This window comes from Homo sapiens, chromosome 13, assembly GCF_000001405.40.
Source record: "Homo sapiens chromosome 13, GRCh38.p14 Primary Assembly".
Lineage (NCBI taxonomy): Eukaryota > Metazoa > Chordata > Mammalia > Primates > Hominidae > Homo > Homo sapiens.
In genome coordinates, this window is record NC_000013.11 from 95,701,646 (window position 1) to 95,726,370 (window position 24,725).

The window sequence follows — 24,725 nt, forward strand, 5'->3', positions numbered from 1 at the left end:
GAAACAACTCTTGTTAATCTGTCTTTTGTTACAGGGAGTCCCAGTTTATGAAGATAAAAAATTATTTTTTCTCTCCTATACCAGCCACTAGTTATTGAGCACTTAAACTGTTACTAGTGTGACTGTGAAACAAGTTTAAATTTTATTTAATTTTAACTGTGTTAGGTGCTTTAACTTGTGCCCTCACAGTACCCTGTGTACATTCCCCCATTATAACACTATAGTGTATGTATTCCCAACATTTTATTATTAAACATATCGCAAAGTTGAAAGAATTTTACAGTGTTCATCCCTATACCCATCATCTAGATTCTACCACTAATATTTTAATACATTTGTTTTAACACATATGCATCTGGACATTTCTGTATCCAACCATTAATCCTTTAAAAAAATACATTTCAAGATAACACCAGTATACATGGCCCTAAATACTTTAACAGGCATATAACCAACTTTTGTTTGCATGTAAAATTAATGTATAATGAAACGTCCATATTTTAAGTGTGTATTTGCTGAGTTTTGATAATCACATATAACTGTGTAACCCACACCTCTAAGCATGATGAGAACATTACCAGCAGTTCCCTCCTGCCTCTTCCCAGTCTGTCTTTTCTCTTACCCTCCCAAGCAACCATTATTTTGATTTTCTTCTGTAATGTCCTTCAGCACCCCAAAGAGCTTAGCATCATGCTCACCATAAAGGAGAAATGCGTTGGCTACTTAGTTTCCGTACGTGCCTTTGTGCACATATTTGAATACCAGTACAACAAAGCAACTTTATTTTTGCTATGGTCTGAATATTTGTGTTCCCCTCATGCCCCCAATTCATATGTTGAAACCTAATCTGATGTGACAGTATTAAGAGGCAGGGCCTTAAGGAGAAGGTGATTAGATGATGCCCTCATGACTGGGATTAGTGGCCATATGAAAGAGGCCTGAAGGAGCTTGTTTTCCCCTTTCACCACATAGGGACTCAACAAGAAAGTGCAGTCTATTAGGCCCTCATCAGACACTGAATCTGCTGACACCTTGATCTTGGACTTGCTAGCCTCTAGAACTATGAGAAATAAATGTTGTTTATAAGCCATCCAGTTTATGGTATTTTTGTTATAGCAGCCTGAATAGAAGAACTGAGACAATTTTCTAAGAAGATACAGCTATCCTTGCAGGGAAGAAATTCTTACCCATACCCTAATGGAGAAGACTCCTGGTTCCATCAGTCACGTATCCATCACTGGCTACATAAATTACTACTCTTACTCCATCACCATCCCACTCAATATTCAGTTATATAAAGACTAAATTGTAAAGTTAACTTCAGTAATTTGTGTATAAAATAAAATTGGGAATTAGGGAGAAAAATATGGTTAGTACAGTCAATTCTTGTTATTCATGGTGGTTATGTTCTGTAAAGTCATCGTGAACACTGCATTAGCAAATATTGAACCATTTCTCTTAGGGGAAATACAGGGTTAAGTTTCTGCAAGCCTCAAATCACAACTTATGTCAACAGATCAAGACATAACCTTGTTTTCTGTGTGTTTCTGTTTAAAGACACCTTACTATGTATGGTTGATCTATTAACATTGAACTTACAGCTAATGGCAGTGTCTTTCATATTTGAAGAAAGCTTAACTAAAACACGATTTTTTCAGTAAGGTACAGCCCAGCTTTCATGAGCATAGGAACACCTGACAGTACTTCAGTACTATGCTTGGGAGTCACTCAAAGTGGTGAAATCAGTGACAGGAAGCATACACAAAAAAGTGGCACCAAATGCACAGTGGAAAGGACAATTGTTTATACTATGAAAGCTGACACAGGAAGATGGAGTGTTACCTTGTTCAGCCTCAGCTGGAACATATGCTTGGAGTGATTTCAGTATTTTGCTACCCTGAACATGCATGTGTTCTTGAATGACTGAAAATGCTGTGAATATGAGTTTGGGGATTACGAATGAATTTTAGTGCATAGGCAAATTCACAAATACAGAATCTAAATTATGAAGATTGACTGTATATACAAATAAACATGTATATAATCAAAGAGAAAATATGCAAAGCTACTGCATAGCTTGTGTCTGTAACTGGTCTGAGGTGGTAGCTGAAATATGTGGCTTCCTTCATCTACTCCCTGTTCTATAGCTCTCTTGCCTTCTGCCAGAATTTCAGTTACTCTGGCTTTTTTTTTTTTTAACCTGATTGAGTGACTCATAAACTTTCCTTCTTGAAGGGACTGTGTCTTATTTGCTCTGTTTTTTGGTTGCTGTAACGTTTCATTAACCTTGTATTGAGCATGGAAGTAGTATGACATGCCCTAGGCAATCTTCTGGGTTCCACTTACCCTACTTTGCCTCCATTGCAAAATAGCACACTTGTTTGCCCTTGGTAATTCGGATTCATTTTTCCAACTAGTAGATTAACCAATGTTTTTGGCTTGTTGGTTTCAGTGACATAAGAAGTACAAAATGGCCATATGGGAGTCTCATCTTCCAATTAATCGGAAACATTGTTGTGTCCCCTTTGGAAGCATTTCTCCTTTAAGGACTAAGATCTCCAAACCATCAGAGCTCAAAGTTGCCAGGACTAGAAACAGAAATTTTGCAAGTGGCTTATGTGGGTATAATAATGAGAGGAGCCATGCCTGCTTCTACTTTTTGATTCCTGGACTGACATATTCTGGCTGTGGGCAAGATAGCATCATATAATGGTCTGTGATTGAAATAATAAACTGCAGCTTGTAAAACAGAGCCCCATCCTTTCAGGTTTTTGTCTCCTAACTAGTGCTGCTGCTGAAGTCTTCAGTAAGCCATTCTATGTGATGGAGTAATGGTAAAACCAGTTAATCTTAGTGTCATGAGCACATTGTCCACCTCTTTTGCTATGAAGTGAATTCCTTAAGGAGATACAGTGCTGTATAGAATGCTGTAATGATAGGTAATACATTCTGTGAGTCTATGAATGGTGGAGTTGGCAGAAGCATTGCAGGCAAATTCATATCTGGAATATGAGAAACGGATCCATTATGGAAGAGAACCAAATAAAATCAATCTGCCACTAGGTGGCCAGCTGTCTCTTTCCCACCCATGGTGCCATACTGGGAATTCAGTGTTGGTCTCCAGCATTGGCAGATCAGATGCTCTGCAGTAGCTTTAGCCAGATCAGTTTTTTCAGTTTTAGAAAGGACTAATCTGTGTGTGTGTGTTTTTTTTTTTTTTTTTTGAGACAGAGTCTCGCAGTGTCGCCCAGGCTGGAGTGCAGTGGCATGATCTCAGCTCACCGCAACCTCCACCTCGTGGGTTCAAGTGATTCTCATGCCTCAGCCTCCCCAGTAGCTGGGATTACAGGCATGCACCACCACATCCAGCTAATCTCTGTATTTTTAGTAGAGATGGGGTTTTGCCACGTTGGCCAGGCTAGTCTTGAATTCCTGACCTCAGGTGATCTGTCCGCCTAGGCCTCCCAAAGTGCTGGGATTACAGGCATGAGCCACCGCACCTGGCCTAATCTGTGTTTTTGAACCCATTCATAATCTCCATCCCTGCCACCATGGCCACTTTGTTCATGGGTCCATTGCACAAGCTTAGATATGATGGAGAAGGAGGTTGAGTGCCACCCATAGAGTATGTCATTTTATCTACCTGATTATTAAGAGCCTCTGCATTGATGTGCCCACCTAGTCTCTCATGGTTCAGTGCTGCTGCTTAAGTTTCTGTGCAACTCTAAAATCCCATCATCCGCACTGAATTCAACTTATCTCAATATTGACTTCCTCCTGTAGTCATACCTGTCCTACAAAGGGGAGTGACAAGAATTTTGAAAACCTTGTTAGGTGGTCCCTCACTAATACATTTCTCCCTCTCTCTCTCTCTCTTTTTTTTTTTTTTAATTTTGTTTCAGAGACAAGGTTTGCTCTGTCTCCTAGACTGGAGTATAGTGGCACGATCATAGCTCACTGCAGACTTGAACTCCTGGGCTCAAAGGATCCTTCCTCCTGCCTCAGCCCCCCAAGTATTAAATAGCTGGGATTCCAGGTGTGTGCCACCATGCCTGGCTAATTATTTTATATTTTTTAGAGATGAGGTCTCATTATGTTGCCCGGGCTGCTCTTGAACTCCTGGCCTCAAGCAGTTCTCCTGCCTTGGCCTCACAAAGTGTTGGGATTACAGACTTGAGCTACTGTGCCTGGCCACTAATAGGTTTCTAAATGTCTTAGTAAAAGGAGTGTTTTCTAGGCCCTCTCATGGACATAAGTGGCAATTTGGTGTGTAGGTAACACATGATAAATCCAGTCCAACCTTCCTATCTCTCTAAACCTTTGGATCCCTCTCTCTTATTATGCTAGGGAAACTTTGGAACCTCAGCCTTATTAAATGTTAAATTAATATAATTAATGCTTAATTAAATTAAACTTCAAGTTTCAGTCAGCCAATCAAGTAAGCTGTTAAAGCCACTTCCAGTTTTGTGAGTTAACACATTAAATGTGGGATCTCTAGTACAGAAGTAGTCAAACCTTTTCTGTAAAGGGTCAGATAGTAAATATTTTAGGTTTTAGAGGCCATATGGGTTTTGTCACAACAACTCTGTTCTGCTGCTATAGTGTGAAAGCAGCCATAGACAATATGGCCCATCCATTAATGGGCATGGCCCCATTCTAGTAAAACTTTAGTTACAAAAAACGGTTTGTTGACCTCTGCTTTATAAGTATATACATATAAATGAATTAGAGCCAATGTAGTGTTATATTTCACCCTCCTGGTCTAGCACCTTTAGAATCCATTGCCATACATGTTCTGTGGGATTGTGCTAGTTTATCAGCAGATCTTTTAGTGTGTTCAGCTACTTCCTTTGGGTCATAGTATATACCTGTTCTTCTGGAGCCTGTCAAAATTTGACATGGGTTAGTGACAATGGCAGTGGTTAGGGTGTGTCTTGAGGAGGACTGAACATCCTCTTTTAAGGCATCCACCATGGGTAAAGCTGTCCTCAGGTTTTTAAGCAGTGGAAGAGTCATCTCCTCAGACAAGGGGGGAAAACTACTTCTGGTAAGGGAGACTCAGACGGACTTGGGGGTTCAAGTTGGTCAGTTTCATTTGGGTCCAAATAAATATTCCCATTCCAAATTTAAGGATTCCATTCTTTACTAATCTGTCCCCTTTCACAGGAGAAACTTGGTGAGACCATGAATTCAGCTATTGTTTTAATTCAGCAACCCTCATAATTAAATTAAATTTTATATTTGATTTTCAGCTAAATCAGCTCTAAGACCATGACTTGATCTGAAAGTTGGATCTGAGCTGGTTATTTTCTCCCTGTAGGTGCCCCAGTGCAGCAGTCCCCAACCTTTTTGGCACCAGGGATTGGTTTTGTGGAAGACAGTTTTTCCATGGACTGGGTTGGGTAGGGGGAGGATAGTTTCGGGATGAATCTGTTCCACTTCAGATCATCAGGCTTTAGTTAGATTCTCATAAGGAATGCACAACCTAGACCCCTTGCATGCGCAATTGATGATAGGGTTTGTGCTCCTGTGAGAATCTAATGCCTCCACTGATCTGACAGGAAGCAGAGCTCAGGTGGTAATGCTCTCTGGCTTGCCGATCACTTCCTGCTGTGTGGCCCAGTTCCTAACAGGCCATGGACTGGTACTGGTCCGTGGCTGGGGGCTTGGGGACCCTGCTCTAGTGCTCTCAAAAGAACCCACCCCACATCAAAGTCCTTATTTTCATAATTTCTGCCATTATGGTCAGTTGCAGCAGCCACTTGGGCTTCTAAGACATGTCCCTCAGTACTTCATTACAGTCAACCAAAGTGATAGCTTAGTTAATTGTGACTCCAATACCTACTGTGGATTACTAGCATTTCATCTCCCATTGGCGAGGAACTTAGCACTGCACTGAAGCCCAAGGCCATGACCAAACCAGTCCTCGAATTGCATCTCTGTGGGCCTGTCTCCTAGGACTGCTCCCAATACCAATTGTGTGTCACTCATGGTCCGTTGAGGAGAGACCGAAATCATGTAGTTACTTAGAAAGGGGAAGTTTAATCTAAGAACTGTTAAGTTGTGATAGGAGAGTAACTAAAGATGTAAAGAGAACTCTAACGGATATTCTAGGACTAAGAGCCTCAAGGAAGGACCAACTTGCAAGAGGGGTCCCCTCTACCAGGCTGGGGTTTAGAGCTTATTGGAGAAGGTATAGCTGTAGCCCAGGTTTGCTGGTGGAGAAGATTGCTGTGTGGCTGGTCCATAGTAATTGGGCAAGCAGGAAACAATCCTTTCATGTATAGGTGAGCGAAGGCTGGTTAGCCTGTCTACGAAGGGAGTCCAGGTGCTTCTGTGGGTGTGAAATCTGGAGTGTGTGGGCTGAGGTTGCCAGATCACTGAGGAACTGGACCCCTGGGCATAAGCTGTGGCTAAGTACCCCTGGATGTCCTCCTCATCCATACCATGCAGCAGGAAGTCCACCCCATGACAGACCATGCAGCAGGAGCCAGAAGACAGTAAAATGCACCAAGCAGAACTAGGAAGTGTCCTTTCTGCAGTGTTGCTTCAGTGCCCTGTACTGACAAAGCATAACATTGTACTCACTGTAAAGAGGAAATGCCTGCAAACTCCAGGCCTTTATTGCAGTGCAGGTACCGAAGGATGAATTCAGAGCGGAGAGGCAACATATTGATAATTGGCCTAGTCCATCAGATCATGTTATTGATTCCACAGTAGTTCCCTGTTTTAAGACAAGTAAATATTCAAAGCTGTAGACAGGTCCTCTACTTCTTTGACCTCATACTACTATCTTCCTCTTGGCTCTGCTGCAGCCATCCAGGCCTTTCTCCTGTTTCTGGAACATATCTGCATGCTCCCGACTTAGGACCCTTGCTGGTCCCTCTTCCTGGAAGCTATTTTCCTAGCTGTCTGCATGGTGAGTTCCTCATTTTTTTCAAGTCTTGCTCAGATGTCAGTTTCTCAAGAAGGCCTGCCCTTTACGCGCTTATTTGCTACTCTAAGTCCCCTGAACTCCTTACCTCTTCACATGGCTTGACTTTTTCCACAGTACTTTTCACCCAACATACTATATAATTTACTTATTTATCATGTCTGTCTCCTCCCACGATAACATCAGGCGCCAGGACGGTATGAGGGGCAGGAGTTTTTTAATGTTGCTCACTTATTGCAGATACCTAAAATAGTGCCTAGTGCATTATAGGTGCTTAATAAATACTTAAATATTGTAACAGTCTCTATGATGTTCATTAAAGGTGAGATTCTACCTTCAAACAATTTTCATTTTATTATTCAAAATATTTTTACTACTTCTGCATTACACAACTTCCCTTTATTTTCTGGACTGGTTACATTCTTTTGACTGATTAGGTCAAGATGGGTACATTTTTTGTCTTGTGCTCCATATAATGAAATAGGGTTTGTATTTTATGTTACGTTCTTTACATCATTTTTCAGCTTCTGTGACTTTTCTCATCTGAGTAGATGACTGAGACAGATAACTATTTTTAATATTATATTTTTTAGAATTAAATCTTAGTTCGTGGAAAGTTAACTGATTGTTTTTAATTTTATTTTTAGGTGCTGAATGTGGAGTAAATGCAGATGTTGAGAAACATCTTGAATTGGGCAAGAAATTACTTGCAGCTGGACAGCTAGCTGATGCTTTATCTCAGTTTCATGCTGCCGTAGGTTTGTATCATGGAACCAAATCACTCAGTGTCTGTCTTAGTGAATTCTAGTAATAGCTCTTTTTTTAAAAATAACATTTAAAATAAACATTATTTCATGTTTAAATAAAACATTTAAATATATTTGTGGGATTCTGAGCGAAATAGATGGATAAAATAAATATATAACACTTAAATGTATGTGCATCTAACATGAGAGAAGTTTGAAGGTTAGTGAGGCCTGCTACTACCAAGGATAACTCAAGATATTTCTGACAAACAGCTTTTCTCAGTGTATTATTTGGCTTCTGACTTTTTTTTTTTTTTTTTTTTTTTGAGACGGAGTCTCGCTCTGTCGCTGTCGCCCAGGCTGGAGTGCAGTGGCACGATCTTGGCTCACTGAAAGCTCTGCCTCCCGGGTTCATACCATTCTCCTGCCTCAGCCTCCCGAGTAGCTGGGACTACACGCGCCCACCACCACTCCCGGCTAATTTTTTGTATTTTTAGTAGAGACGGGGTTTCACCATATTAGCCAGGATGGTCTCCATCTCCTGACCTCGTGATCCGCCCGCCTCGGCCTCCCAAAGTGCTGGGATTACAGGCGTGAGCCACTGCGCCCGGCCAGCTTCTGACTTTTTGAACAGATTTTACTGAATGCAGTTTAATTTTCTTGATGACTTGGGTTTTCAATATGTTCACTTGATATCCTTGGGAGATGCTGCAGTTCATTGCCTCTTCAGTATTGGTCAGACCCCAGCTGCTCTTCATTTATACTGTTGCTTCTTATTTCTTACTCATGTCTGTCTGTAGAATCAACTGTCGTGCAGCTGCTCATCTGTTAGGACTGTAAGAAGTGAGATGACCAGAATAAATAGGTTCTTAGTGAAGGCTTAATGGATTTTCTCTCCTTTTCTTTTCTTTTTTTTTTTTTTTGCTTTTTTGAGACAGAGCCTTGCTCTGTCACCCAGGCTGGAGTGCATTGGTGTGATTATGGTGATTATGGCTTACTGCAGCCTCAGCCTCCTGAATAGCTGGGATTATAGGTGTGTGCCACTATATCCAACTACTTTTTACAACTTTTATTTTTTATATTTTTGTAGAGATGGGGTCTCACTATGTTGTCCAGGCTGGTCTGAAACTCGTGGGCTCAAGCAGTCCTCCTGCCTTGGCCTCCTAGAGTGTTGAGATTGTATGCATGAGCCACCACATCTGGCATGGATTTCCTTATGAGTCACTGCTAAACTTTTGTACTGGGACTTTTTGAACTTTCCTCAGAGTTCTTTACTTATATATTTTTACCTTGATTTGAATGGTTGAGAGTGTGTAGTTAACAACCGAGGGTGGTGTTTTGTTTTGTTTTGTTTTGTTTTTGTTTTTGTTTTTGTTTTTGAGACAGGATCTTGCTCTGTCATCCAGGCTGGAGTGCAGTCACGTGATCTTGGCTCACTGCAACCTCTGCCTCCTGGGCTCAGGTGATCCTCCCACCTCAGCCTCCTGAGTAGCTAGGACTACAGCTGCATGCCATCATGCCCAGCTAATTTTTGTATTTTTTTTTAATAGAAACTGGGTTTCACCATTTTGCCCAGCCTGTCTCAAACTCTTGTTCTCAAGCCATCTGCCTGCCTCAGCCTCCCAAAGTGCTGGGATTATAGGTGTGAGCTACCGTGCCCAGCTGGTGTGTTTTTTAATAAGATACAGCTGTGCTCCCAGAAAAACTATCATCCTATTGTTGTAATTTACTATATAAACTCAATGTAGTTAGGTTTTGGTTTGTCATACTTTTCTTTATGCTTTTTCTTAAACTCAGATTTTTATTATTCAGATTTTTATTAAACTCAGATTTTTATTAGCTCTCTGAACTCATAGGAAACATATTTTTTTGATGAAAAAACTCTATTCAAGGCTGGGCATGGTGGCCCACGCCTGTAATCCCAGAACTTTGAGAGGCTGAGGTGGTGGATCACTTGAGGTCAGGAGTTTGGGACCAGCCCGGACAACATGGTGAAACTTGTCTCTACTAAAAATATAAAAATTAGCCAAGCGTGGTGGTGGCCACCTATAATCCTAGCTACTTGGGAAGCCAAGACTGGAGAATCACTTAGACCCAGGGGCCCGGAGGTTGCAGTGAGCCAAGATCGCACCATTGCACTCTAGCCTGGGTGGCAGAGTGAGACTCCATCTCAAAATTAAAAAAACAGAAAACAAAAACTCTACTCAAGAGACATGGCATAATTATAAGAACATACAAAAGTTGAAAAATGAGGGGAAAAGTGGAAAAAAAGATACCTTTGTGAGTAGTAGAGAAAGCCATTCCACGCAAATAAAGGATTCACTCTACCAGAAAAAATATCAATTTTAAATGGGTATAAGCCTAATAACATAGCCTCTAAATACATAAAACAAAAATTGACAGAACTAAAAGGAGAAATAACAAATTTATAATTACAGTGGAAGGCTTTAGCGTCTTTCAATAATATATAGGAAAACAGACAAAAATAACAGTAAAGATGTTAACGACCCAATTGAAATACACATAACACTTGGACACAGCTACAGAATACACATTCTTCCAAGTGTAAGAACATTACAATAAAAATATTATAGGAAAGTCTCATGAACATAACTACAAAAATTCTGAAAAACATAATAGCAAATGAATCTAAAGTTTAAAGAAGTCCACATATTATGTTTGTACACACAAACACATACACACACCACTGGTTTCTATTATAAGGATGTAAATTTGGTTTGGCATTCAAAAGTCAGTATTAGTCATCACATTAAAAGACTACAGGAGAAAAATATTATTTCAAAGGTGCAGAAGAAATATTTGATAAATATTTAACACCATTTCTGAAAGAAAAAGCACCTTTTAAACAGTTTGGGAATCTGTATTGGTGAGTACACCAAGAATCCTATAGCTACCATCATACTTTATGGTGAATATTGATAGCTCTCCCCACACCTCACCACCACTGAGATTGAGAACGAGACAAGGATACCCACTATTACTACTTGTAATCAACATTCTGCTAGAGGTCCTAGCCAATGCTTTTTTCTTTTTTTTTTTTTTTTTGAGGCAGAGTCTCGCTGTGTCACCCAGGAAGCTGGAGTGTAGTAGTGCAATCTCAGCTTACTGCAACCTCCGTCTCCCAGGTTTAGGCGATTCTCCTGCCTCAGCCTCCCAAGTAGCGGGGGTTACAGTCATGCACCACCACGTCCAGCTAATTTTTGTATTTTTAGTAGAGATGGGGTTTCACCATGTTTGCCAGGCTGGTCTTGAACTTCCTGACCTCAAGTCATCCACCCGCCTCCCAAAGAGCTGGGATTACAGACATGAGCCACCGTGCCTGGCCTAGCCAGTGCAATTTGTATACCAATTTTCTGTCTTGCAACCTTGCTGAACGTGTTCATTAGCTCTAATAATTTTTGTGTTGGTGTTGATTCTTTAGGATTTTCCATATACAAGATTATGTTATTGGGAAATTACAGTTTTGCTTATTTTGTCATGGAAAGGACCCAGTGGGAAGTAATTTAATCACGGGGGAAAATACAGTTTTACTTATTTTTGTCATGGGAGGGACCCAGTGGGAGTTAATTTAATCATGGGGGTGGTTACCCCCATGCTGTTCTCATGAAAGTGAATGAGTTCTCATAAGATCTGATGGTTTTATAAGGGACTTTTCCCCCTTTTGCTCTGCACTTCCCCTTCCTGCCATCATGTGAAGAGGATGTGTCTGCTGCCCCTTCTGCCATGATTGTAAATTTCCTGAGGGAAATTTACTCATGCCGAACTGTGAGTCAATTAAGCCTCTTTCCTTTATAAATTACCCAGTCTCCGGTATGTCTTTATTAGCAGTGTGAGAACGAACTAATACAATTGCCCAGCCCCTGTAATTTGGCAAGAAATAGGGCATAAAGATTGAGAAAGGAAGAAATAAAACTGTCATTCACAGAGGACTTGATACACAAATAATCTGCAGACTATCATAACTGAAATGAATTTAGCAAGGCCACTCACTAGATAACAAATTCAACATACTTTTGTAGCAACAGAGTCTCTCTATATTAGCAATAAACAAATATAAAAAACACCTAAGAAGAAATCTAATGAAAGATGTGCAAGAACACTTTGCTGAAAACCACAAAAATAGTTATAAGAAACTTAAGAAAGACTTAAATGAAGAGATATACCATGTTCATGAATAGGAAGATTCAATATTGTAAAGTTGTCAAGTGGCCCCCAAATTGGTCTACAGATTCAATGAAATCTAATCAAATTCTAGCACTTTATTTCATTGAAATTGACTCGCTGATTCTAAAATGTCTTATGGAAATGCAAAGGACTTCTTCATGAGTTGCCTTGTGGACGAGATTTAAGACAACCCAAGCCAGCTCTCTTTGGTCTGTGAGAAGCATACATGTATTCTTTGCCTTGACCATGTCTGTAGACAGAGGACAGTCCAAATAGCAACCCCTTCTTCCTTCTTATGAGAGCAGAGAGCCTGCTAGTCTCTTGCCATTTAGAGTTTTCAGGGATGAGTCAGATACCCCAGTCAGTCTACTCTGTCCTGCAAAGAGGACACTTACAAACTTTTCCAAGTGGCCCTAGAAATCTCACCTTGGAATGTAGGGGTAGCTGGTACCTGTTGGGATGTCAGGTGAAACATAAATAGTTGCATTGCAGTAGCCTGCTGTATAAATATACGGAGAACTTCTATCGTATGTACTCTATGAAGGTATTAGAAAAATATGGCTTTGTGGATTACCTTGAAAAGGGAAACATTTTAATCTTGGCGTTGCCACTGGGTAATCCTGTGACATTGGTCCAGTTATGTAAGAAAATGCACACTTTAAAAAGTTACCTGCAAGTTCCCAGCAGTTTTTGCTGTGTCACCCATGGGAATTTTTGTGAAGATCAGATGGTAATAATGAATATAAATATTTCTTTGAAAATAGTATATAATCACTCAGGAGGCTGAGGCGGGAGGACTGCTTGAGCTCAGGTGCAGTGAGCTATGATTGTGTCACCACACTCCAGCCTGGGCAATGGAGTGAGACTCTGTCTGTCTCCTTCTCTGTCTTGCTTTTTTTCTTAAAAAAAAAAAAAAAAAGGTGCAGTAGGATATGTAAAGAATGTAGAAATATAATTTTTGTGTCTCTGAAAATTAAGGCTTTTCTAAAAACAGGTTTGCTATAATAACAGGGGTTTCTTAACTATGTGACATTTCTGTTGGGAAGTTTGCATTTCGATGACTAACTCACCTTAAGAAATAGTGGTTACTTTGCACAATAATTTGCACAAGATTTTTCATTAAGGGCTGTTTACTGTGTGACCACATCGTTACTAAGTCCACTATTTTTCTGGTGATTCAAACTGTCTTCAGTGCTTCAGCATGGCAATTTAAATTCTTTTCAGTTACTGTCTTAGAAAAAGTGTGTCTTAAAGTATTTATTCTTACCTACTACCATTAGAATGTTTGCAGAAATGTATATACCTTCTACCTATTTTATACTTTATTGTTTGTTTTCTTAGTCTCACATTTATTAGAAACATCAAGGGCTATGGCATATAATTAAAGTCGGTTTAAATGACTGCTCCTTTTTTTTTTAGCTTTATCACTGCAATACAAGACTTTTTGAGACAGCTCTTTCCCAAAATTCCCAGTAAAATGTTACTGTGTTCACCAAGAGGTGTAAATCAGTGATGCTGAAACATGGCAATTTATTGGTGTGATTTAGTAAAGGGAGAATGTAAATAATTGCTAGTGCATTCTGAATCTGAATAACAGGCAGTGTGGTGGCTTACAACTGTAATTCTAGCACTTTGAGCACTTTCGAAGGCTGAGGCAGGAGGATTGTTTGAGGCCAGGAGTTTGAGACCAACCTGGGCAACATAGCAAGAGCTCGTCTCTACAAAAGTAAAATAAAAACAAAATTAGCCAGGCATGGCAGTGCCCACCTGTAGTCCTAGCTACTTGGGAGGCTGAGGTGGAAGGATTGCCTGAGCCCAGGAGTTTGAGGAGGCAGTGAGCTGATGGTGCCAGTGTGCTCTGGCCTGGACAACAGAGTGAAACCCTGTCTCCAAAATAAAGTGTCATTTTGTTCAATGTGATCTGGCAAGTAGCAGTGACTCTCAAATGGGATACACATCATAGTTTCTTTTTCTTTTTTTTTTTTTTTTTGAGACGGAGTCTCGCTCTGTCACCAGGCTGGAGTGTGGTGGCGTGATCTCGGCTCACTGCAACCTCTGCCTCCTGGGTTCAAGCGATTCTGCCTTGGCCTCCTGAGCAGCCCGAGCAGCTAGGAGTATAGGCATGCGCCACCATGCCCAGCTAATTTTTGTATTTTTAGTAGAGACGGGGTTTCACCATGTTGGCGAGGATGGTCTCGATCTCTTGACCTGATGATCCACCCCCCCTTGGCCTCCAAAAATGTTGGGATTACAGGCATGAGCCACTGCGCCCAGCCACACATCATGATTTCTAGGAAGACCATTTATCATTTTAGTTCATGTAGAACACATTGTTCATAACAAACTATAGAAAATAAAGTTTAAGGCTGGGCGTGGTGGCTCATGCCTGTAATCCCAGCACTTTGGGAGGCTAAGGTGGGCGGATCACCTGAGGTCAGGAGTTCGAGACCAGCCTGGCCAACATGGTGAAACCTCCTCTCTACTAAAAATACAAAAAGTTAACCGGGCGTGGTGGCAGGTGCCTGTAATCCCAGCTACTTGGGAAGCTGAGGCACGAGAATTGCTTGAACCTGGGAGGTGGAGGTTGCAGTGAGTTGAGATCATGCCATTGTACTCCAGCCTGGGCGAGAGTGAGACTCTGCCTCAAAAAAACAAAAACAAAAAATCCCCAGAAAATAAAGTTTAAATTTTCTATCATAGTGAAATGGGAGGGTTTTCATATCTCCCTTGCAGGGCGTGCAACAGGGTTGTGGCTTCTGTCTTCGGGGCCCCACTGCTCAGACCCTTACTGGGAGCATGCAGATGGGCAGGTGCAGAGGCCGTGGGGAGTGCTTTTGGGCTCCGGCCCCACGGCAATGTCTAGGACTCCTGAAGCCCAAGTGGGTGTGTGTTACAGTGTGCTGCTTCAGCTACGCCATCTGCAGACGGCTTGTGTTAGTCAGCTCAGTAGACCCTCTCCCTTATTGCAAGGACGGGGCCAGTGTGACAGCCTGAGTTCTTGCTCGGTTGTACTGGAAGAATCAGATCATATACATGGGCTGGAAGGTTGAGTGCAAGGTTTATTGAGTGGTGGAGGTGGCTCTCAGCGAGATGGATAGGGAGCCGGAAGTGGGGGATGGAGTGGTAAGGTGGTCTTCCTCTGGAGTCGGGCTGCCCAGCGGCCAGACTCTTCTATGGCCACTCCTGGCTGAACTCCCCTCAGCATCCACGTCGTTCTGCCATCGCTGCTCTGCCAGTGTCTGCTGGTATGCTCTTCTTCTCCTCTAGACATCCAGCCATTTGTATCTGTGTCTGCTTAAGGTCTCTGATTTATATGGGCACAGTATGGGGTGCGTGGCTGGCCAGAGTGATCTCGGAAAATGCAACATTTGGGCATGAAAACAGGAGTGCCTGTTCTCACTTAGGTCCGTGGGCACAGGCCCAAGGGTGCAGCCCTACCTGGGACCCCACCCCTCTCTACCCAGCACTTCCCTGCCCCCCTCCCATATCAATAGGATTATGCAGTAGGTGGTGATGGGGTGTTGTGACCTTTTGAAACTCTTAAGAGATGTGCGTTTATCAGAAGAGAACTATGGGGATAATGAATCCTGGGATCTGAAACCCTAAATTTAATAGACTTTACAGAGGGTCTTAGGTATATCTGGCACGAACAAATGTCTTAAGTGGTAGATTAAATGGTGGGCAGTGTGAAATGATCGATTTCTTCATTTGCTTGGTAAGAAAACTAGCACAACCCTTACATAGTTTTGCTGAATCCAAAAACAAAATCCATTTCTAGATTTTTATATCACTTAAACTTGTTATGGTGCTTTCTCATCACATTTCAACCTCACTTCTGAAATGAGGACAAACATTACTGTTTACATTTAGACAAAAGGAAACAAAAAGTGCTCTAGCAACTTTCTGAAGGTGATATTCCAGTTCAAAAGATTCTGAGCTATGCTACTATTTTAATGTCTGGTCAGTTCAGTAAATTGTTGAATGAAGGAGTTCAGTTGGGTGAGCTGAGAGAATGAGTAAAACATTTTCCGTATCTAGATGATATGGTTTGGCTGTGTCCCCACCCAAATCTCGAATTGTAGCTCCCATAATTCCCACATGTTGTTGGAGGGAACTGGTGGGAGATAATTGAATCATGGGGATGGTTCCCCCCATACTGTTCTCACAGTAGTGAATAAGTCTCACGAGATCTGAAGATTTTATAAATTCGCTTGGCTCTCATTCTCTCTTGTCTGCTGCCATGTAAGATGTGCCTTTCGCCTTCGGCCATGATTGTGAGGCCTCCCCAGCCATGTGGAACTGTCAGTCCATTAAACCTCTTTTTTTAAAAAAATACCCAGTCTTGGGTATGTCTTCATCAGCAGCATGAAAACGGACTAACGCACCAGTCCAGTGTGTTTTTCCTATGCCTCTCACTACCACCATTTACAACATCATTTGTAATTGGCTTTCTGATGTGTTTTCTCCAGATAGTAGTTGTATTGTTTTATTCTGGCTAATTTTCTCATATTTGAATTGTTTGATAGTTCTAGGATTCTGGGTAGAGGTTAAATCCATCTCCCATGTTCAAGTTTCTAATAAGCTAGTATAAGGATTTGAATTATGTGGTTTAAAATGAAATATAGTATTTCCATATTTCCACATGTAGACTTGCAAATAATTTACATAATGAACAATATTATATATTGGATGGATAATAGGAAAAATACTTATTTTCAAGGTTATCCAGTCTTGTATTGGTAAAAACTAAGCATGCATTTCTAAACCAATTCTTGTTTCACTTGCTACTTCATGCACAGTGATGTAGGAATGGACTCTAGTTCCATTAACTGTTGGTATTTTAAGATGAAGAACCAGGGAAGGCTATTTTGATTTACTGTGCAGGTGACCCCATGCCTCTAAGAAAATTGAGACGGAGTCTCGCAGTGTCACCCATGCTGGAGTGCAGTGGTATGATCTCAGCTCGCTGCAACCTCCACTTTTCGGGTTCAAGTGATTCTCCTCTTCAGCCTCTGGAGTAGCTGGGATTATAGGTGTGCACCACCATGCCTGGCTAATTTTTGTATTTTTAGTAGAGACGGTGTTTCACCATGTTGGCCAGGCTGGTCTCGAACTCCTGGCCTCAAGTGATCCACCCGCCTTGGCCTCCCAAAATGCTGGTATTACAGGCATGAGCCACTGTGCCTAGCCAGAAAATTGATTCTTGATTCATGTGTTAAACTATTGTCATTTGATTCTCAGTGGACAAAAAAATTCAGTTTCTCCTATTATATTCTCCCCGTGCAGAATTCTTCTGTGACCTCTGGTCACCAAAATGTGTGGGAATTTCTCTCCACCAAGTAATCCTACAGATTCTTCAGCAGACAGCAGCTGGATGTCCTCTAATTCTGTTCAGTTCTGACACTGTCTATCTGGAGGTAGCCTAAGATCCCACAGATTGAGAGCTCAGTGCCACAAGACCACTCCTGACTTCAGAAGCCATTCATAAGGCCCTGGTTGTTTTACCTGTACTTCTGACTGACTGGCTGTAAATGAGGATTCCCATGACCCCTTCCTTGGGTTCAATTAATTTGCTAGAGCAGCTCACAGAACTCAGGGAAACACTTACGTTTACTGGTTTATTATGTGATATTACAAAGGATACAGACGAACAACCAAATAGATGGAAGAGATGCATAGGGCCAGGCATATGGGAAGGGATATGGCGCTTCTTTGCCCTCTCTGGGTGTACCACCCTCTAGGAGCCTCCATGTTTTTGGCTGCATGGAAGTTCTTCCAAACCCTGTCCTTTTAGGTTTTTGTGTACACATTATCACTTAGGCATGATGTATTATATCATTGGCTGTTGGTAACCAACTCAACCTTCAACAACCCGAGGCTTTATCACTTAGGCATGATGTATTATATCGTTGGCTATTGGTAACCAACTCAACCTTCAACAACCCGAGGAGGGTACAGAGTACTCAAAGTTCCAACCTTTTCACCTGGTAGGTTCCCCTGGCAACCAGCTCCCATCCTGAAACTATCTAGTGCCCAGCTGGTGCCCAGCTACCAGCCGTTTCGTTAGTATACAAAAAAGTAATCACTCCAGAGATCCCACGGGTTGTAGGAGCTATATGTCAGGAAGCTGGAAGAAGACCAAATATATATCTTATAGTACAACAGATTCCTTATTTATGTAGATTTGGTGTTATAAATTGGGGTTCCAATTCCATTTCCTGTCTTAAAATGCCTAAAAACTGAACAGTAGAATTAGTGAGCACTCCAGAAATATTGTATGTAGACAATTTTTGTGTATGATGGGATCCTTAATACAAAAGTTATACACAGTCCTCTGTGGAGATTTTTTCTTCATGGATTGGAATGGTCAGGTTTTTCCAAATAGAAATCTAATGTAGTTTACCGTATACCATGTAAATGCTGTGTAAATAGTTGTTTTACTGTACTTTTTAGGGAATAATGAAAAAAGTCTGTACATGTTCAGTACAGACACAGTTTTTTTTTTCCTAAATATTTTCAGTCTGAGGGTGGTTGAATCTACAGATGTGGAACCCATGGATACAGAGGGCCAAATGTGTATAAATAATTAATAATCAGTGCTTAGGGTTAGGTGCAGTAAGGGATATGTATTATAGAATGTTATGGAATTTGAGAGAAGGAAAGGTTTATTTTTCCATGTATAGTCAAATAAGTCATTTGAGCTGTGCCTCAAAGATTGAGTAGGATTTGGACATATGAAATTGATGGGGTTGTGTACTTTAGGCCTTAAATCATCGTATTTCCAGTATTATTCTTTGCTTAGTGTGAATAAGCCATGGATAACTTAAATTTTTTAAAAAACTAATGAATATGAAAGTAATCCATATGTATTGTGAAACATTTTGGAATACATGGACTACAGAAAGAAGAAACCCCATCTCTCTGCTTGGATAGCCACTGTTGACACGCAGTGAACTGCCTTTGCTGTCTGGTGCGTCACTTAAATGTTAGTAATTCTTAAGTATGAAATCATTCTATGGCCAGTTCACAAACCAGACCCATAAAATTTTAATTTATTGTACCTTACAAATAAAATATAAGCTGAACTGAAAAATACTGTATATCAAGCAAGTTCTAAATGTAGTTACTCTGATTCCTACTCTTTCCTCAAGTTAATTACAGTATTTTGTAAGAAATATCCTATATTCAGGCTACTGATTTTGCTGTCCTGTCCTTGCCTCCTAAAGGAAGTTATTTAGTAAAGAAATGTTAGTGACGCTTAGCTGGGATCATATATTTTTATTTTTAGATTTAAGAAAAAGAAGGTTTTTTTTTGTTGTTAAAATACCTAATTCCTTTTTTAAAAAATACATTTTTTTTTTCTGACTGGTTCATGTTTTTACTTTTTTATTGTGGTAAAATGTATGAAAATTTACCATTTTAACCATTTGTAAGTGTACAATTCAGTGGCATTGTGTTCACATTGTTGTGCAGTCATCACTATCCATTTCCAGAACTTTTTCATTATCCCAAACTGAAACTCTGCATCCATTAAACATTAGGGCCCTATTCCTAACCCTTTACACCAGCCCCTGGCAACCACTATTCTACCTTCTGTCTCTATTATTTGAATATGTTAGGTACCTCATATTAGTGAAATCATACAGTATTTTCCTTTTGTGTCTTTGCTTATTTCACTTAGCATAATGTTTTTAAGGTTCATCCATGTTGTAGCATGCCTAGGAGTTTCATTTCTCTGTAAGGCTGAATGAATAACCTGCTGTATGTATGGTATATCCCACCTTTTGTTTATCCATTCATCCACTGATGGACTTCGGGGTTGTTTCTGCCTTTGGACTATTGTGAATAATACTGCTGTGAACATGTGTGTTTGAATGCATATTTGACCCTTCTTTTTATTTCTTTGGGGTATATACACAGGAGTAGAATTGCTGGCCCACATTGTAATTTTACATTAAATTTTTTGAGAAATCATCTTACGGTTTTCCACAGTGCCATACCATCTTACATCCCACCAACAGCGCACAGGTGTTCCAGTTTCTCCACACCTTGCGAACATTTGTTATTTTATCTTTTTATTTTTCATAATAGCCATCCTAATGGGTGTGAATTGGTATCTCAATGTGTGTGTTTTTTTTTTTTTGGTTTTGCTTTTTTAGTTTTTATTAGTATTTTTGTTCCCCCATGCAGATCAATGTGGTTTTGATTTGCATTTTCCTAAAAACTTGTGATGGTGAGCATCTTTTCATGTGCTCTTTGGCCATTTGTATGTCTTCTTTCATGTTTGGTTGTATAGCCTAATCTCTTTTTCTGACCCACCTTCCCCTGGCATTTTCAATGCCATTAACAACTGTTCACAACCATAATTTTGAATGATTATGGACTGTCCTGCCGTATAGATTCTTCTATTGTAATGTTTTCCAAATGACAAGAACTTTAGGAGTAGAACTTTTAGGGAGTTTAATTGTATATCTTATGATGATGAACACCTGAGTAGATAAATCTTTTATTTTTAAAAGATTGATGGCTGGCTTTTGTCAAGGTTAGTTTTAGAATTCTTTATATGCTTCTATTTCCAAATGCTTTTTAGAAGGATTGTTCTGCAGCAGATTTGCTTCTGACTGAATCCACTCTTTTCTGTACTTCGTAGGTGCTGATAAGCAGAGTAAAATTAGCTCGGAAACCTAATTCATCTGTCTGCTTTCCTTACAAATGTTAACTTCTCTAGCCCCTTTCTCTAGTCTCACTCTCATTTCTGTTCTCCTCCTTTGTCCTTGTACCTTTATTTCTTCACCTCCATTCTAGTTGGAGTTTGTGAGGGAGCAGAGATTATACATTCAATATATCAATTTAGTCAGAGGTTTATACATTTCTAAAACCCTGGACACCAATGTGCATAGTCCACATTCTTAGTATTTCACTTAGGAGAATCTCCATAGAGACAAACTGAATTGCATACTTAACAAAAGTTATGAGTTGAGGCTGGGTGCAGTGGCTCATGCCTGTAATCCTAGCACTTTGGGAAGCTGAGGTAGGAGGATTGCTGGAGCCCAGGAGTTCAAGACCAGCTTAGGCAACATGGTGAGACTCTCTACAAAAAATTAAAAAAAAAAAAAAATTAGCCAGCCGTGGTGGAATACGCCTGTTGTCTCAGCTTCTCAGAAGGCTGAGGTGGCGAATACGCCTGTTGTCCCAGCTTCTCAGAAGGCTGAGGTGGCAGGATTGCTTGAGCGTGGGAGGTCAAGGCTGCAGAGGGCCATGATCATGCCACTGCGCTCCAACCTGGGTGACAGACACCTTGTCCGCCCCCCCCCCCCCCCCCCCCCCCCGCCGAAAAAGGTTATAAGTTGAATATAGTTAATATTCTAGACCAGGGGTTTGCGAACTTTTTTTCTAAAGGGCTAGACAAGTAGTTTCGGCTTTGCGGCCACAGTCTTATGTTTTTCTTTTGTTCTTTCTTTTTTTTGGGCAACTTTTAAGAAATGTAAAAAACATTCTTAATTGAAGTCTGTAGGTCGGATGTGGCTTGGGCTGTACTTTGCTGACCCCTATTCTAGGTCTATTTGCACTGATCTTGCTAGGCAACATGACTCTTTTTTGATGATGAGATTCTTTTCTTAATGTCCATCTTAGTAGAGTTGCAAGTGCTGATACTGTCCAGGTGATTTGTTTTTTTTTAAATTTTTATTTTTGAATAAATGACTAAGAGGTAATATTATTTTAATTTTCAGATGGTGACCCTGATAACTATATTGCTTATTATCGGAGGGCTACTGTCTTTTTAGCTATGGGCAAATCAAAAGCTGCACTTCCTGATTTAACTAAAGTGATTCAATTGAAGATGGACTTCACTGCAGTAAGTATATCTCAACTTTCTTTAAAGGGGAACTTAACAGAACTTGGGGAGAGATAATTTGTTTCATAAGGTGAGGACTGGCATGCTAGACATAGCTGGAAGAGATCAAAGCTACAGTGATGTTGTGGACTGAGGAACAAGAGAAATTCAAAGTCCCTAGAATCAAAGATCTGTGTGAAAGAGAACAGCGGGTACATTAGATGTTTTTTTTTCAGAAGTCTGGCAGTGATGTCAGCTTTGTGGTTTAGAAAGACAAATCTGTGTGGAGGCTGGAGTGTGAGGCAAGATGTGAGGCTGAGACATGAGTTGATGAAGAGGCTGAATTAAGATGCTATCAGGTGACTGGCAGCAGTTGCACTTAAGGCTGTACCAGGAAGAATAAAGTGGGGATTACTTAATTGGGCTATGATTTGTGGTGACAATAAAATGCTAAATTAGCAGAGACATCCCCTGGAACCAATCCACAAGCTTCAGAGGTGGAGAAACTTGTAGCCTAGTAGGAAATCCTGATGATTGGCAGGTCACCATAAAGGTTGTGACAGATGTGTGAACAGGGAGGGACTCATGAGGTAGAACTCAGGTGGGGCTTTCAGAGGCAGAATTGACAACCACTGATCAATTAGACGGTTTCAGAAGTAATTTGATAGCCATTTATTATTTATTTCCTACTGTATTTCGAGAAGGATTTGAGATAACTGATTAGATATGGGGTGAATGTTTGATTTGAAATATTACTAATATTTTAAGATGGAATTCCCAAATCTCAAATATTTTTCAAATTTATCTTACACAGCTAAGCAAGCACAACCTTTCACAAAGGTTAAATGGCTCATTTTCTTAGTATTATGATAGTTGGAGTGGCTTTTTTATGATAGTTTAATCTTGCTTTTTATTGTATTGATGAATTTAACAGGGTTAGGAAAATTTTATTTACTGTAAAAGTAATGTATATAGGGTTAAGTGGAATATTAATGTGGCTTCATTGGTCATCCAGAGTTGGTATTCTTGAAAGAAACGGGATTACACACATTAGAAGAAGAGGAATATCAGATGAAGGGGGAGAAACTGGTGCATGTTAGAAGGGAAGAGTCATTGGTAAAGTCCCAACTTACGCAACTTTTATTGTAGGGCAAAAAGTATTTTTAAAAATTGAGATATAATTTATATGCCATCAGACTTACCCTTTAAAAGTATTCAGTGGTTTTTAGTATATTCACAAGTTGTGCAGTGGTCACCACTAGCTACTTCTAGGACACTTTTATCGACCCCCAAAGAAGCCCTGTACCTATTAGCGGTCACTCCCCATTGCTCCCCTAGCTCCTGGCAACCACTTATCATAGATTTGTTTCATATAATGTAACATCGTATAATGTTTGGCCTTTTGTGTCTGACTTCTTTCACTTAGCATAGTGTTTTCAAGGTTCATTCATGTAGCACATATCAATATGTCATTCCTTTTTATGGCTGAGTAATATTGTATGGATATATTATATTTGTATATTGATTTAGTTGATGGGAATTGGGTTATTTCCACTTTTTGGCTATCATTGTGAACATACATGTACAAGTTTTTGTGTGGACATGTTTTCAGTTTTCTTGGGTAGAACAAAAAGTATTTTTAAGGAAGCATACTTTAAGAAAAATTATACACATTCATTGGTTCCAGGAATTATTCTTGGTGTCAAGTCAGATGTGCACTGGAAAAATAAATATTTATTAATAATTTGTTTATTTAGTTTTATTCTTCGTGTTTAAAAAAGATTTAGAAATCTATAATATTCAAGATAATCCTCTGCCCCCTTTTTTTCTAGGCAAGATTACAGAGAGGTCACTTATTACTCAAACAAGGAAAACTTGATGAAGCAGAAGATGATTTTAAAAAAGTGGTAAGTTCAATATGTATTTGACTCTAGGAAGATGTTATTTTGAGAGAACGTATTTGACCTTTTTTATATTATGACAGTTAATAGTAATTTTATAGCTAAGAGTCAATAGTCTTAGACAGTAAATAGAGAATAGCCAGATTTATATATTTAAGAATCACAAATCCTGAATTACTATTTGATGGCAGACATCAAAGAATCCTGTTAACAGTTGGAAGGTAAAGCGTACCCAATAGATATATAATCTTAACTCAGTTTATACAGCTTGCTTGTTCTGCTTTGTCCACCATGAGAATCTAAAGATGTCAGCTGAACTACTTTTAAAGCCCTTGTTAATCCTTATTAGGCTTTGGATCTGTCCTTTTGGAGATCCTTCATTTGATTTGAGAGGAGTAATGAAACAGATTCTTTTTTTTTTTCTCTTTTTTTTTATTATTATTATACTTTAAGTTTTAGGGTACATGTGCACAATGTGCAGGTTTGTTACGTATGTATACATGTGCCATGTTGGTGTGCTGCACCCATTAACTCGTCATTTAGCATTAGGTATATCTCCTAATGCTATCCCTCCCCCCTCCCCCCACCCCACAACAGTCCCCGGAGTGTGATGTTCCCCTTCCTGTGTCCACGTGTTCTCATTGTTCAATTCCCACCTATGAGTGAGAACATGCGGTGTTTGGTTTTTTGTCCTTGCGATAGTTTGCTGAGAATGATGGTTTCCAGTTTCATCCATGTCGCTACAAAGGACATGAACTCTTCATTTTTTATGGCTGTATAGTATTCCATGGTGTATATGTGCCACATTTTCTTAATCCAGTCTATCGTTGTTGGACATTTGGGTTGGTTCCAAGTCTTTGCTATTGTGAATAGTGCCGCAATAAACATACGTGTGCATGTGTCTTTATAGCAGCATGATTTATAATCCTTTGGGTATATACCCAGTAATGGGATGGTTGGGTCAAATGGTATTTCTAGTTCTAGATCCCTGAGGAATCACCACACTGACTTCCACAATGGTTGAACTAGTTTATAGTCCCACCAACAGTGTAAAAGTGTTCCTATTTTTCCACATCCTCCCCAGCACCTGTTGTTTCCTGACTTTTTAATGATTGCCATTCCAA

The 24,725-nt window shown here is 40.1% G+C and overlaps 1 protein-coding gene across 2 annotated transcripts in view, besides 1 other annotated feature; it reads left to right on the forward strand.

Annotated features, from left to right (window-relative positions):
* The window catches only part of DNAJC3 (DnaJ heat shock protein family (Hsp40) member C3), a 117,850-nt gene that overhangs the window by 24,507 nt on the left and 68,618 nt on the right, over positions 1–24,725 (forward strand). For both annotated transcript variants that reach the window (XM_011521104.3, NM_006260.5), the window contains exons 2-4: positions 7,582–7,692; positions 21,597–21,721; positions 23,533–23,607. In XM_011521104.3, the coding sequence (XP_011519406.1) occupies positions 7,582–7,692; positions 21,597–21,721; positions 23,533–23,607 (311 nt within the window). The remainder of the gene's footprint in view (positions 1–7,581; positions 7,693–21,596; positions 21,722–23,532; positions 23,608–24,725) is intronic.
* Positions 5,491–5,780: an enhancer, noted in NCBI's record as "active region_7883". NCBI's record gives its function as "activates an Ori minimal core promoter by ATAC-STARR-seq in GM12878 lymphoblastoid cells {active_cell/tissue: GM12878}" and the evidence as "EXISTENCE:reporter gene assay evidence [ECO:0000049][PMID:35858748]".